The 15,775-nt window shown below is 43.4% G+C and overlaps 1 pseudogene, besides 1 other annotated feature; it reads left to right on the forward strand.

The window, feature by feature from the left end:
- Nucleotides 2,263–2,532, forward strand: DPPA5P2 (developmental pluripotency associated 5 pseudogene 2; annotated as a pseudogene).
- Nucleotides 15,267–15,467: a silencer, noted in NCBI's record as "peak2326 fragment used in MPRA reporter construct". NCBI's record gives its function as "represses an SCP1 promoter by STARR-seq MPRAs in K562 erythroleukemia cells {active_cell/tissue: K562}" and the evidence as "EXISTENCE:reporter gene assay evidence [ECO:0000049][PMID:32103011]".

Raw genomic sequence — 15,775 nt, forward strand, 5'->3', positions numbered from 1 at the left:
CTCAGGCAGAGAATTGAAACTCATGAGATCACCACATCCACACAATGAGGTGCCAGACCCCCTTATCCATCATGATTGCTTCTCTACCCATCCCTAATTCCTTTTTTCCCCAACTTCCCCGCTTCATAAACCTCCCAATTTTAGTGGTCGGGGAGACATATCTGAGACTTATCTCCCATTCTCCTCTGCTGCAGCACCCAATTAAAGCCTCTTCCCTGGAACTACTCATTGTCTCAGTGATTGACATTCCATACAGTGAGCAACAGGACCTAGACCGAACCCTTGGCGTTTCTGTAACAAGTTCACAACCAAGTGGGAAACATAGCCACAAACTTAGTAACTGTAATACAGGGTAGACTATGGAAATGACTTTATTGGAGATATAAACAAAGGCTGGTGGGAGACATTAATTCTGGTTGTAGTGGTACTAAGAAAGACTTCCTACATGAGGCAATATATGACTTGGGATTTGGACAGTGAATTCTGATAATGAAAGAGGATAAATAGGGCACTCCAGGAAGAAGGAACAGTATGTGTAAAGGTACGAAGATACAGAAGTGCACATTGTATCTAGAAAATAACCATCAGAACAGGCAGAACATCAGTGAATGTCGAGGAACAATAGTCGAACTAGGTAGGGACCAGATTGTGATGGCCCTTGAATGTCATATTAGGGAATTTGGGGCCAGGCACAGTGGCTCGCGCCTGTAATCCCAGCACTTTGGGAGGCTGAGGTGGGTGGATCACTTGAGGTCAGGAGTTCGAGACCAGCCTGGCCAACATGGTGAAACCCCTGACTCTACTAAAAATTATAGAAATTAGCCTAGTGTGGCGACGGGCACCTGTAATCCCAGCTGCTTCAGTGTCAGCTCTGTGTCCCCATCCAAGTCTAATGTCAAATTGTAATCCCCATGTGTTGAAGGTGGGGCCTGGTGGGAGGCGATTTGATGTGGGTGGTTTCTCATGGTTTAGCACCATCCCCAGTGCTGTCTCATGATAGAGTTCTCATGAGACCTGATGTTTTAAAAGTGTGTGGCAGTTCCCCACTTGTTCTGTCTCCTTCCTGCCCTGCCATGTTAAGGCTTGCCTGCTTCTTCTTCACCTTCCGCCATGATTGTAAGTTTCCTGAGGCTAGCCATGCTCCCTGTTAAGCCTGCAGTACTGTGAGCCAATTAAATTTCTTTTCTTCATAAATTACTCAGTCTCAGGTAGTTCTTTATAGCAGTGTGAAAATGGACTAATGCAAAGATGAAATATGAAAGCCAGAGGGTCTCCTAGGCAGGAAATAAGTAGACTCTCAAATCTTGAAGTCAGATGGCAGCAAAAGTTGAAGAAAAGGCCCAGGACTAAAACAGGAGCTAAACTTGCTCCATAGAAGAGTGAATTGGTGGCCAGGCGTGGTAGCTCATGCCTGTAATCCCAGCACTTTGGGAGGCTGAGGTAGGCAGATCACGAGGTCAGATCACGAGGTCAGGAGATCCAGACCATCCTGGGCAACATAGTGAAACCCTGTCTCTACTAAAAATACAAAAATTAGCTGGGCGTGGTGGTGGGCACCTGTAATCCTAGCTACTTGGGAGGCTGAGGCAGGAGAATCGCTTGAACCTGGGAGGCATTGGTTGCGGTGAGCCAAGATTGCGCCACTGCACTCCAGCCTGGGAAACAGAGCAAGACTCCGTCTCAAAAAAAAAAAAAAAAAAGAAAAAAGAAGAGTGAATTGGCAGGGCACTGTGGGTGGCTCACACCTGTAATCCAAGCACTTTGGGAAGCCAAGGCAGATGGATGCCTTGAGCTTAGGAGCTCAAGACCAGCCTGGGCAACATGGCGAAACCCCATCTCTACAAAAAATAAGCCGGGCATGGCAGTGTGCACCTGTAGTCCCAGCTACTTGGGAGGCTGAGATGGGAGGTTCACCTGAGCCTGGGAGGTCGAGGCTGCAGTGAGTCACGATAGTGGCAGAGTGAGATCCTGTCTCAAAAAATTAAAAAAATACATAGAAGAGTGAATCCTCAGCCATGCCAAGTGTGTTACATCAATGTCAGTGTCTTTACTGGGAGGGAGTGGGATCCTGAAACTTGAGATGGAAAAATCCAGGTTGATAAACTTGAAAATCTTGAATCCTCAGATTCCCCTTGGCCCTCTGGGTCTGAAGAAGCAGCTCAGTCCTTCCTGTGAAAGGCCGATGATCCCACTTTACTTAAAACGATGTAGATGGTTAGGCCTAGCTTCTGCAGGAGAGTGGTTGGTTGTGAGGGTCGCAAGATGGGAATTCTCCCAGAATGTAAAAATATCTCACTGTGGGTGAAAGTTCCCAAAGACCTGGAAGATCCAGAGGTGTTTCAGGCCTAGACGCAGCTGCTGGAAGTCACATATGGCCCAGTAGGGTCACAGATCCCTTACACTGAGCAGGTGAGTAAGGCCATGCTTGAGTTGAAGGCTCTGAAATCTTCAGACCTCACTGAGGTCGTGGTTTATGGCTCCTATTTGTACAAGCTCTGGACCAAGTGGATGCTGCAGTCCGTGGCTGAGTGGTTCCAGCTTGGTTTAAACTCTGCTCCAGTCTGATGAATTAAGGAAAAACCATCTGTTTTGGGGTCTCTGCACTTGCTCTGACTCCAGTTGTGAATATCTTTTTTGAATGTTGCTAATTTAAGAATAAAGTTTTAAATAGTTTTAAATAAATTGTAAATAGTTTTAAAAAATGACATAGAGGCCTTTGCCTTGCATCATCCCCATAATGCATAAGACCACATCCATCCATTCCCATAATCAACTCTCATTTCCCCACCTGGCCACCAGACTAATGCTAGGATCAGGGAACACTGTACCCTACCACCTCCCTTAGCTGCTAAGGGAAACATGGATCACAGGCTAAAAGAGCTGCAAGATATAGCTAGTATGTATTGGCAGGAGCTGGGAGTGAATATATGGAACTGGATTCTAAAGAGGCTGGATCAGTGGAGATAAAGAAGAATTTATGGATAAGGGAGCACTCTTCCATAACACAGGATTTAACACCTTGGGAAATAGTGTTAACTTGCTGTCAAGATAGTTTTTGAGAAAGCTTAGAAGAAATATAGTAGAAAATTCAGACTGCTTTGGAACATAGTAAAGGAGTAAAGGGCTCAGAGATATGTGCTCTCTAGAGTAGATATATAAATCTGGAAAACCCATCTGCTATGTTCTGCAGAAGAATCCAGATGATAGTCCATCTATTAAAGGGATAAGGAATGCGCTGGTAAAAGGGGGCACCAGAATCATTGAGAAACTCAGTGATCTTCTATAGGCCAGGGCCACAGAAGTAAGATATGCCATTGTAAAACTGGGCTCCGTAATAGACAGGGGCATGGTAGGATCCTATCATGTAACCGAGGTTAGGTAGTAGCACTTAAACCATCACGTGCAAAGTGGGTGAGATTATCATAGTAAGCAGAAAAAAATAGACTGTTTTCCAGAGGAGTCTGATACAAAGAGGGCTATGGAGATGGTTGTGAGATGATGGGTCTAGGCCAAGGTGGGAGGATCCCTTGAACTTAGGAGCTTAAGAGAAGCCTGGGCAACATGGTGAAACACCATCTCTACAAAAAAATGGAAAAATTAGCCGGGCGTAGTGACTCACAACTCTAGTCCCAGCCACTTGGGAGGCTGAAGTGGGAGGATGGCTTGAGCCTGGGAGGCAGAGGTTGCAGTGAGCCAAGATTGCACCACTTCACTCCAGACGGGGCAACAGAGTGAGACCCCATCTCAATTAAAAAAAAAAAACAGAAGAAGAAAAAAAGAATCAGTTTGCATTCATGTGGGAATGGACACAATAAGTATTAATTTATGTTTCTGCCCTAGGGCTATGTTAACTTTTCCGTCCTTTCACATAATGTAGTAGAAAGACATTTAGATCACCTGGAGATGCAGATTATCACATTGGTTTATTATAACTATGACTTCATTGAACTGGATGAGCAAGAAATCGCCAACATGTTGGTGGCCTTGGAAAAAAATTTGTGCTCCAGAGAGTGGGAGAGAAACCCTATGAAGATTCAGTGTTCCAAGACATCAGTGAAATCTTTAGAGGTCTAGTGGAGGGCATGCTAGGACATCCCCTCTGAAGTAAAGGATACATTGTTGAGCTTGTATCTCCCATCACCAGGAAGGAAACGCAATACCTGGTAGAATTCTATGTTCTGGTGGCAGCATGTACCAAGCTCCAGCTCATTTATGGTGTAATATGGAAAGCTTTTCAGAGCAAGACATGGCTTTGTAGCAGGTCCAGCCTGTGATGCAGGCAGCACTGTTACTTGGTCTTAAGATTGAGAAGCCCCTATAATGTTGGAGGTATCAGTGGTGGGAAAAGATGTCTTGTGCAGTTTATGGCAAGCCCACATAGACCCCAGGATCTGGAACAAGGCCCAGCATCTACACAGAATTTATAGACCTTTTAAAACTCAGCTTCTGGTGTGCTACTGGCCTTGACAGAAATGGAGCATCTGATTATGTAATATGTATCCATGTGGCCAGAAGGGCCCATTATGAGCTAGCTTCTGAACCACCAAGTCATAAGGTCAGGTACGCCTAACAGCAACCCATTGTACTTGGGAAGTGGTACATCTGGACTGGGTACAGGCAGGCTCAGACAGGGGGTACAGCTATCACATAGGTAGTACAGACCCCAGTTACATTTACAGACATTGCCACTTTTATGGTTTTAGCTAACATTACCTGGGTGGAAAGATATTAGCAAAACTTTGTCTTAGTAAGGTTCTAACTAGGAAGACATAAATTATTCTGAGTATTTGAAAATAGAGTTTATGATAGAGAATTGTTACTCTTGATAATTATTAATCAACAGGGGATGGTGAGGCAATCCAGAGATTAGCAATGACAGGCAGCCACTGTCCCCTCGGCTGGAGAAGAGGTGGTGTTCCTGGAACCCAGGGGTAGGGGTTACCTGGTATGCCAATCGTCAATTTATTGTCTCTTCACTCCAAATCCATTCTTCATTGCCTATAGTCATAATTCTAAGATGGCTCCCAAGATTCTCACCTTCCTGGTGTACAGGTCCTATATAATCCCTTTTTCGTGAGTATAGATGGGACTGTGAACATGATGGATTTTACTCCCGTGATTAGGTTACATCAGATGACAAAGGTGAATATATAATTGAGATCTCAAATCAGTTAACTTTGAGTTAATCGAAGGGTGGTTTTCCTGAGTGGGTCTGACCTACTCAGGTGCTTTCTTGAAAGAGAAAGAGGACTCTTCTTGGGCGAGGAGATTCAAAGTTAAGAGGGCCCATGGAGGGGGTGACATGGCCAGAGTACCCTCTAGTTGTTGAGAGTGGTCCCTGGTTGACAGCCAGCAAGAAAACAAGGTCTTCAGTTCTACAACTGCAAGGAACTAAATTCTGCCAATGACCTAAATGAACTTGGAAGTGGATCACTTCCTAGTTGATCCTCCAGATGAATATGTAGCCAGCTGACACCTTGATTTCAGCTGTGTGAGACCTTAAGCAGAGTACCCAGACAAAATGTGCCAGACTCCTAAGCCACAGGAGCTGTGCAATAATAACTTTGTGTTGCTTAAACCACTAAGTTTGCGGTAATATGTTATGCATCAATAGCAAACTAATATAGGCCTTGTAAATAGTTCTCTTCTGGCATGATATTAAGCTTTGTTGGTAGACGGTGCTGGAGAGACATTGCAGGAGGAACGTTTTTTTCTCTCTCTTCCTGACTTCCGTGTGCTCCTCTCACCGGTGCTCCTGCAGTATGTACAGCATCTGCAATACTTGGCTCCTGCAACACACATGGCTTCTGTAGTGCCCAGCTCCTGCAGTATTTCCTAGCTGGCAGCACACAGTACCTCCCCATGGGGAGTTTCCCCAGCATCACCTAAGGTAGCTTTGCAATGGGTGGCAAGGTTTGGTATCTCTCTGCAGATAGCTTGTCTTAGTACCTCAGCAAGTGCTTCTGGCATGGCACCTCAGCTTCACTATCTAGTGAACCAACACTATTCCATCTCCAACAAGATCTGGATTTTTGTCTTGGTGAGGTTGCAGAGATCTTACTTGGATGCTTTATCTCAGTCCCAACGTTGTGACTGCTCCTTATATCTGCTATTCTTGTATTCTTTAGAATTATCTTTCTTACTGCATTGCTCCAATATCTCTCTAATAGTGAATAACTTTCTATATTTTAAAATTTAATTTAACTTAATTATATTTTATTTTTTGAGTTGGGACCTTGCTATGTTGCCCAGGCTGGTCTTGAACTCCTGGGTCCAAGCAATCCTCCCTCCTTGGCCTTTCAAAGTGCTGGTATTACAGGTGTGAGCCACTGTGCCTGGCCTAAATTTCTATATTAAATTTTCCCTGTTTAAATTACTGTGTGCATTCTTTCTCCTCATTGGACCCTGCCTGATATATCTGACAAAGTTGGACTCACAGCAGGACTCTCCAACTGGGAGCTGGGGCCAGATGGGAGAGCCAGTCATTGCTCCAGTTGCCTTCTGAGGCAAAAAGGAAGGAGAAATACCTTGATTTCTTCTTTACCACCCCCTTCCAATCTCCCAGCCTGTAACCTCTACTAGTGCCTCCCATTGGCCAAACTCAGCTGGAAGCAAGCTGGCACAGGGACCAGGAAAGCCAGCCCCTGTGGTATGGGGCAGAGCAGGGAAGGTGACGGTGGGACTGAGGAAAACCAGGACTGATAAAATCCTGCAGTAGTCATTGGCATTCAGGGATTAGTTCTCCTAAGTTTATGATGAGATACAGACAGACTATATTTATCTCTTTATTAAGTAAATTAATTTAAAGTCTATTTTTCTCTCTGGGAGCACATAATAGAGACTTTTCTGAAAACTTAGAGGGAAAAATGACATCTTGAGATATTTAGCTGTTAATAAAAATTAATGCCTTTAAATATACCCTTTCATCTACTACATCAAATAAGCAGTTTTGAAAAAATACTTTAAAATGAAGGTAAGTGAATAATTAATTTTAAAGACAGCACTTTCCTAAGTAAATTCAAAAAATGTTGACAAGAAATTTATAGGAAGTCCAAAGACTAGGGCAATAATTTAGAAATTACTTGATCCACTGGCATTTTTAAACTGAAAAAGGAATCAGAGACTCTGAACTCTTTGTATTATTGACCTCATTACATTATAAGGAAATTGAATTTTTAAAATATCATCTCACCTTTTGGTCTGGAGAATCTTTGGAAATAATTCACATTTAGCAACTGAAACACTTTGAAGAGAACATTTTAAGTAAAAAAAGGACTATTTTGCATAGCTAATGCAAGTACTTATTTTAGCAATTTTAAATGAAGCATGATCTATCTCCTAGCTAATTTAAATAAATCTATCCTAAAAGGAAAGCTGAGTCCTGGAATAATATATGATGCCTATGGTCATTAAAATCACACTTTTTCCATAACATAGAGAATAAAGTAATAATGACTGATGGCTACTTTGATATCTACATGTAAGATTAACAAATGAATTTTGTGAAAACCCCAAAGTGGAAGAAGAATCGCTGTCTTTTGAATAATATTTAAAGTTATTTGAATGAATCATCATTTGTGACTAGTTTTACTAATAGTTCAAAAACACTGATACTATTTCAAATGATTAACACTCAATATTACGGATATTCATTTACTGTCAGATTTGATAATACTAAATAAAAAATAAAAAAGATTCCCCACCTGCCAATAGAAGCAGAACACTGGTATTGGTGATGTTCTCTATCCCTCACAGCTTGATCTTCTAATTTTGCAGGTTTGCAACTTCAGTTGCCAGCTTAACCAGTTGATATTAACCACTAAAAAACTGCCTATTGTATGAAGTTGATTTGTATAAAAGAAATGAATTTTAATAAAACATAGAATTGCCAAGCCCTCCGATATTCATTTAAGTCATTTAGTCCCTCTTATTTCAACAGAGAAGTCTACATAAGAAGCCAAATTAAGGTTGAATGGTTACTTAGGAAACCTAAAGTCTATTTAAGAGATCACATTAAGGTTAGTGAATATATGTATCCAAGGCACTAATAACAGAAATAATACTATTTCTTCTAGCCATAATAAATGCTCGTTTAGTGGGTGCTATTATTTACAATAGTGTCTTGCAGCAGTTTACAAATCCTGTTCATATAATGCGTGCTTGATTCTTACAAGAACTACACCGAGTAATGGGTCTGGTATTATCATTATCATGCCTCTTTTACTGATGAAAAAAACACAGGTTCAGAGAGTAAGTGACTTGACTAAAATCTCATAACTGATATAGTTGACATCTGTTGTTTTGGTTGGGCCAATTTCCTTCCTCTTTTTGGTAATAGGACTCTGATTTTTCCTTTAAGGAACTACCCAGTGCCTTTCTATAACTCCTAGCAGGTCTGTCAGTCAAGGGGCTCTGCCTCTGTCTGTTATGTGTGACCCACACTGACCCATCAGGGTCCACTATATTCCCCTAGATGCAGAGATTGGTATACGGGTGGGCATGTAATCCAAGTATTTGAGTGTTTTTTTTTTTTTTGAGATGGAGTCTTGCTCTGTTGCCCAGGCTGGAGTGCAGTGGTGCAATCTTGGCTCACTGCAACCTCTGCCTCCTGGGTTCAAGCAATTCTCCTACCTCAGCCTCCCGAGTAGCTGGGATTACAGGCATGCGTCACCACACCTGGCTAATTTTTGTATTTTTTGTAAAGACGGGGTTTCACCATGTTGGCCAGGCTGGTCTTGAACTCCTGACCTCAAGTGAGCCACCTGCTTCAGCCTCCCAAAGTGCTGGGATTACAAGTGTGAGCCACTGTGCCTGGCTTTGAGTTTTTTTTTTTTTTTTTTTAAGGGATTGAAATAAATGAATGCTAGGAGCGCACTGACTTCACTTGGGAGATGTAAGGATCATGAAACCCTGGAGCTATTTTCCTATCACATTGAGAGAGCTCCTAGAGTGAATGCTACATAGGAGAAAGCAGAGTGGAGAATCAAAGGGAGAGAGAGGGAGAGATTCCTATTTTGGCTGAGGAGAAGACATAGAAATCCTTGAAGCCAGAGCAGCCCCCGGACTTTCAAGCTCAGTTGATCAAAACTTCCTTTGTTTGTTTAGGAAGGTCTGGACTTCTCTACTTGCTAGTTGGTTAGACAAAAATCTAATACAGCTAATGATTATCTTAGCTGGGCTTGAAACAAATCTTTTGACTTTAGCCCTTTGCTATTTCTTTTCTTGGGATATTTGAGGTGCTGCTTTTCTGGCTGGAAACCTCTGTGGGTGGTGGTGCCTTTGCCCAAGTTCTTGTCCTATGTCCAGGAAGAGTGATGTATGCAGACAAGTGGAGGGTGAGCAAGACGAAGAAGAACTTTACTGAGGGTCAGAACAGCTCAGAGGAGACCCGCGGTGAGCAGGTCCTCTCTGTGGGCAGGTCGTCCCATCGAGTGTGCAGCTCTCAGCAGAGAGGAGGCCTGGAGTGGATGGCTCCTCTCTGCTGACAGGTCATCCCCAAAAATGTTCATCTCTCAGCGGAGATGGTAGTTCCTCTATGCAGCTGGCCATCCTGATGTCTGCCCTGCTCTGGCTGAGTCTGGGGTTTTTATGGTTTTCATTCAGAGTGGGGAAAGTATATGCTGATTGGTCCATGGGCAGCAATAGGTGGGCTCAGGAAAAAGCACCACAAGTTCCCCCTCTGGTGGGCAGGACTGGTAGGACCTTCCCTGGCCTGAAAGTGGAGCTTCACTGGGGACCCACCCCCTTCCTCCCAGGAGCCTGTCTGCCTCTCACGGCCATTCATTGGCACCCAGGATGTTTGTGCCAAGAGGTGCCTGCAGGCCAGTGTTGAGCTACGTGCAGTCCCCCTCGGCTTCCCTCCCATGATCCTCATCACCCAAAGTCTGGAGGGGACTGATGTGGCTGGGGGCTGGTGTGTCAGCACTGCCCTGAGCATGAGCCCCCTGGCTGGGCTGCAACAATGCCGGGGCTCGGCTCCAACCTTGCTCCAGGATTAGAGCAGGAGCTGACAGTGGGAGAAGCCAGGCAGCAGGAACAGGTGCTGGCAGGGGGCTCTGGGAGAGAGCTGGCTCTGGGCTCCCAAGAGCACAGAGACCCCTGGGTCTGCAGCCGAAGGGCAGGGCTCCTGCCTGCTCCATGGATCGTATTTTCCTTTAAGGAACTACCCAGTGCCTCCCTGCTGTAGCTGGCATCTTGGCAATGGCCACTTTAGATGAGTCGCTGCTGCTATCATTTCTATGGAGGTATACCTCAGAAAGGTGTCCCTGACTATAAATGTCAAAACTGGTCATGTGCTTTTGTGAGTAATTTGAAAATCTGCCCTCTTTCTATAGAGACATACTGTCCTAAGTTGCTTTCTAATGTTCATTTTAAAAATTAAATCAAGAGAATGGGAAGACCAGCCATAGACTGGGAGAAAATATTTTCAAAAACATGTCTGATAGGCCAGGTGCAGTGGCTCACACCTGTAATCCCAGCACTTTGGGAGGCTGAGGCAGGCAGATCACCTGTGGTCACGAGTTTGAGACCAGCCTGGCCAACGTGGTGAAACCCTGTCTGTACTAAAAATACAAAAATTAGCCAGGTGTGGTGGTGCATGCCTGTAATCCCAGCTACTTGGGAGGCTGAGGAATGAGAATCACTTGAACCCAGGAGGCAGAGGTTGCAGTGAGCCAAGACTGCACCACTGCTCTCCAAGCTGGGTGGCAGAGTGAGACTTCGTCTCATAAAAACAAAAAAACAACAACAAAAAAACCATGTCTGATAAAGGACTATTATGCAAAATATACAAATAACTCTTAAAACTCAGTGATAAGAAAACAAACAACTTGCTTCAAATATGTGTAAAAGATGTCAACTCACATCTCATTGAAGAAAATATATAGATAGCAAAGAAGCATATGAAAAGATGCTCAACATCATATGCCATTAGGAAATTGCAGATTAAAACAATGAAATACCACTACACACCCATTACAATGGGTGAAATTCAAAATACTGACCCCACCAAAGGCTGGTGTGGACGTAGAACAACAGGAACCCTCATTCATTGCACGTTGGTATGCAAAATGGTACAGCCTCTTTGGAAGAGTGTTTGGTAGTTTCTTACAAAACTAAACATACTCTTACCTTATGATCCAGAAATCTCACTGCTTGGTATTTACCCAACTGATCTGAAAACTTACGTATACACAAAAATCTGCACATGGCGTTTATAGCAGTTTCATTTATAATTGCCAAAACTTGAGAACAACCAAGATGTCTTTCAGTAGGTGAATGTACAAGCTGTGGTATATCCATACAATGGAATATTATTCAGTGCTAAAAGAAATGAGCTCTTAAGCCATGAAAAGATATGGAGGAAGCTTAAATGCATATTACTAAGTGAAAGAAACCAGTCTGAAAAGACTACATACTATACAATTCCAATTATGTGACAATCTGGGAAGGGCAAAACTATGCAGTCAAAAGATCAGTGGTTGCCAGGAGTTGCAGGGAGAGAGGGGTGAATAGGTGGGCACAGATGTTTTGGGGCAGTGGAGCTATCTTGTATGACACTCCAGTGGTGAATATATGCAATTATACATTTGTCAAAACCCATAGAATGGGGAATATCAAGAGTGAATCCTAATGCAAACTATGGACTTTGAGTGATGATGATGTATTAATGTAGGTTCATTGATTGTAATACGTGAATCATTTTGGTGGGAGATGTTGGTAGTGAGGGGTATGAGTGTGTATGAGCAGGGGACATAGGGGACCTCTGTACTTTTTGCTCAACTTTGTTGTAAACCCAAAACTGTTCCAAAAAATAAAGTCTAGGCCGGGCACGGTGGCTCACACCTGTAATCCCAGCACTTTGGGAGACCGAGGCAGGTGGATCAACTGAGGTTGGGAGTTTGAGACCAGCCTGACCAACATGGAGAAGCCTTGTCTCTACTAAAAATACAAAATTAGCCAGGCATGGTGGTGCATGCCTGTAATCCCAGCTACTCGGTAGGTTGAGGCAGGAGAATCACTTGAGCCCGGGAGGCGGAGGTTATGGTGAGCTGCAGCACCACTGTACTCCAGCCTGGGCAACAAGAGCGAAACTCCGTCTCAAAAAAAAAAAAAAAAAAAGTCTATAAAAAAAAATCCCATTCTAAAAAAACCTGACTTTTCTCAGATTGCCTCAAGAAGAAAGACTCTAATAGAAGAAAACTCTAATTGCTGGCACCTGTGATAGTCACTGATGCTATTCACTTTCTGTTTTTCTCCTTTCCCAAGCACCTGTGAGGAAAATGCTTCCCCACCCCTTTGATGTTGGGTGTAGCCATGTGGCTGGCTGTGGGTAATGAAATGTAACCTCTGTCACCTTAAGGGTGAAAGTCTTCAAGAGTTAGTGTGCAATTTGCCATGTTTCTTCTTCCCATGGTAATGACTGGGGGTGTTCCTCCTTGTGGTGGAGGCTGTCAGCCTGGGTCTCTGAGTGAAGACTGTGAAGCAGAGTCCTTCATAAAATAGATGTGTGTGTGTTAAGTCGTGAGATGTGAAGGTTATTACAGGACCACAGCCTAGCCTGCCCTGACTGTACAGTAGTATCTGATATCATACCTCTAGTTCTCTAGTGACCCTCGAATAACATAAAAGAGATAAGGCAAGTTGAATTTCAATCTCTTATTTTAATAAATTACTTTAGGCCGGGCGTGGTGGCTCATGCCGGTAATCCCAGCACTTTGGGAGGCCGAGGCAGGTGGATCACCTGAGGTTGGGAGTTTGAGACCAGTCTGGCCAATATAGTGAAATCCTGTCTCTACTAAAATATGTTAAAAAAAAAAAATTAGGCCGGGCGCGGTGGCTCACGCCTGTAATCCCAGCACTTTGGGAGGCCGAGGCGGGCGGATCATGAGGTCAGGAGATCGAGACCATCCCGGCTAAAACGGTGAAACCCCGTCTCTACTAAAAATACAAAAAATTAGCCGGGCGTAGTGGCGGGCGCCTGTAGTCCCAGCTACTTGGGAGGCTGAGGCAGGAGAATGGCGTGAACCCGGGAGGCGGAGCTTGCAGTGAGCCGAGATCCCGCCACTGCACTCCAGCCTGGGCGACAGAGCGAGACTCCGTCTCAAAAAAAAAAAAAAAAAAAAATTAGCCAGGGTGGTGGTGCTACACGGGAGACTGAGGTAGGAGAATTGCTTGAACCCGGGAGACTGAGGTAGGAGAATTGCTTGAACCTGGGAGGCAGAGGCTGCAGTGAGCCAAGATCGTGCCACTGCACTCCAGGCTAGGTGACAGAGCAAGACGCTGTCTCAAAAAAACAAAAAAAATTACTTTAGTGTTTATATGAAAATAGAAGTTTGGGCTGGGTGCAGTGGCTCACGCTTGTAATCCTAGCACTTGGGAGCCTGAAGCAGGTGGATCACTTGAGCTCAGGGGTTCAAGACCAGCCTGGGTAACATAGTGAGACCCTGTCTCTACAAAAAAATATAAAAATTAGCCAGGTGTGATGGTGCGCTCCTGTAGTCCCAGCTACTTGGGGGGGCTGAGGTGGGAGGATCTCTTGAGCCTGGGAGGTTGAGGCTACAGTGAGCCATGATTGTGAAATTGCACTCCAGCCTGGGCATAGAGTGAGACCCTGTCTCAAAAAAAGAAAATAGAAGTTTGAACAAAACTTGGCTTGTATTTGCTTATGTAAGATATTGCAGCTGGGCATGGTGGCTCATGCCCATAATCCCAACACTTTGGGAGGCCGAGGTAAGAAGACTGCTTGAGCCAGGAGTTTGAGACCAGCCTGGGCAACACAGGGAGACCCCCCCCCCCCCACCATCTCTACAAGAAATTAAAATAAATTATTGGGTCATGGTGGTACCTGACTGTGGTCCCAGCTACTTGAGAGGCTGAGGTGGGAGGATTGCTTAAGCCCGGGAGGTTGAGGCTTCAGTGAGCCATGATCACTAAAATAAAATGTTTCTAGTAATTGTGTTCATTTTCTAAAAATTTCAAAAGCCATTGCTTTTGACTTCTGCATATATTTTGCAAAACTTTTTGGTGGCAGAGTTAGGAGGAGGTGTTGGTGAAATAATCCATGTAAAAATATGTTTGTTATATAATGCAAGGAATGAATGTGGAAAGTGTAGCAGAGTTACAGTGGGTGGAAGTATTTCAGCACTTTGCTAATGTGAAAGAATATTTCTTATGTAAATACAAGTGAAAAGTGGTTTTTAAAAAAGTGGCTAACCATAGGCAAAATGGTAAACTGTTTTTCTTTAGTAATTAATTTCTTTGATTTTCTACTTACAATTTCTTCCCTTCCTTTTAATTATTTTGCAAGAGCATCAGCCTATATGAATGTGTTCATATTTTCAACATCTATCCAATAGAAGCATAAGGTCATGGGCTGTAATATCTTTCTCTTGTGTATCTTCCCCCTTCTCCTCCCTTTTTCTCTGCAGCCCTGGTAATTACATCTTTTTATTTTATTTTATTTTTTCTTTTTCTTTTTTTGAGTCAGAGTCTCGCTCTGTCACCTAGGCTGGAGTGCAGTGGTGCGATCTTTGCTTTCTGCAACCTCCGCCTCCCGGGTTCAAGTGATTCTCGTGCCTCAGCCTCCTGAGTAGCTGGGATTACAGACATGAGCCACTGCGCCTGGTAATTTTTTGTATTTTTAGTAGAGATGAGGTTTCCCTGTGTTGGCCAGGCTGGTCTTGAACTCCTTGCCTCAAGTGATCTGCCCACCTCCGTCTCCTAAAGTTCTGGGACTACAGGCGTGAGCCACTGCACCCGGCCAGTCCCTACATCTTACTGAAATATTTTGCGCCACCCCCTGCTTTGTCTTCCCCCAACACTTTCTTCTGTTTTTGGAAAAAGATCAAAAGAGAGATAAATGGGAGGGTGGAAATAAATGCCTGTGAGAGAAGTAGGTCAAACACATTCTAAATATAGGACATCTGATCCATAAAAGGAATAAAAAATATTCATGGACTAATATTTTTTTCTTTACTTGAATCTCTTACCCACCTTCTCCCTTTAGGTCAGCAAAAAATAAAGGATATAGAAACATTTAAAACAGCAAAACTGAAAGGTGAATAAAGTTTTGATTTATTTATTGCATTATATTTGCTCTTCCTCTTTTGCATTTCATAGTCCTTGAAATCCAATGGCCTTATTTTTGCTATGAATATAACACACACACACACACACACACACACACACACACACACACACAAAGTGTTTAACACTTTCTAGATATAGTTTCTTTGAACTAACTTATTCAGAGCTACATTTTATGTTCTTTTATCTTCTTAAATTCTTTTGGTCTAACAGACTATGCAACACCTTTCTCTATTAGGTCCTCCTACTAACCATTTAATCTGTGTCACTGCTGTATTCTCCAGAGGACAGTTAGTGCCTTGAGGCCCTTGAATCTGAAGTATATTTTTGCTACTCATGATGTTTTTCTCCTGCCTGAAAGACTTTACTAATTTTTCTCTTCAGATTACATTTTACCTGTCTTTTAAGGTATGGCTTAAATCCCAATTCCTCTATTAAATTTTAAAACTTTCCCTAGTTACTTTCCACTTGTACACTATACAACTGCACATCTGTGATAGGATGAATAATGCCCCCCCAAAGACGTCCATATTCAAGTCCTTGGAGTCTGTGAATGCTAGCCTCCATGGCAAAAGGGACTTTGCTGATGTAATTAAATTAAGGACCTTGAGATGGGAAGAGTATCCTGGATTATGCAGGTGGGCTTAATGTAATCACAAGAGTCCTTATATAAAGGAGGAAGGAGGAT

The sequence above is a fragment of the Homo sapiens genome, chromosome 15 (assembly GCF_000001405.40).
Source record: "Homo sapiens chromosome 15, GRCh38.p14 Primary Assembly".
Taxonomy (NCBI): Eukaryota; Metazoa; Chordata; class Mammalia; order Primates; family Hominidae; genus Homo; species Homo sapiens.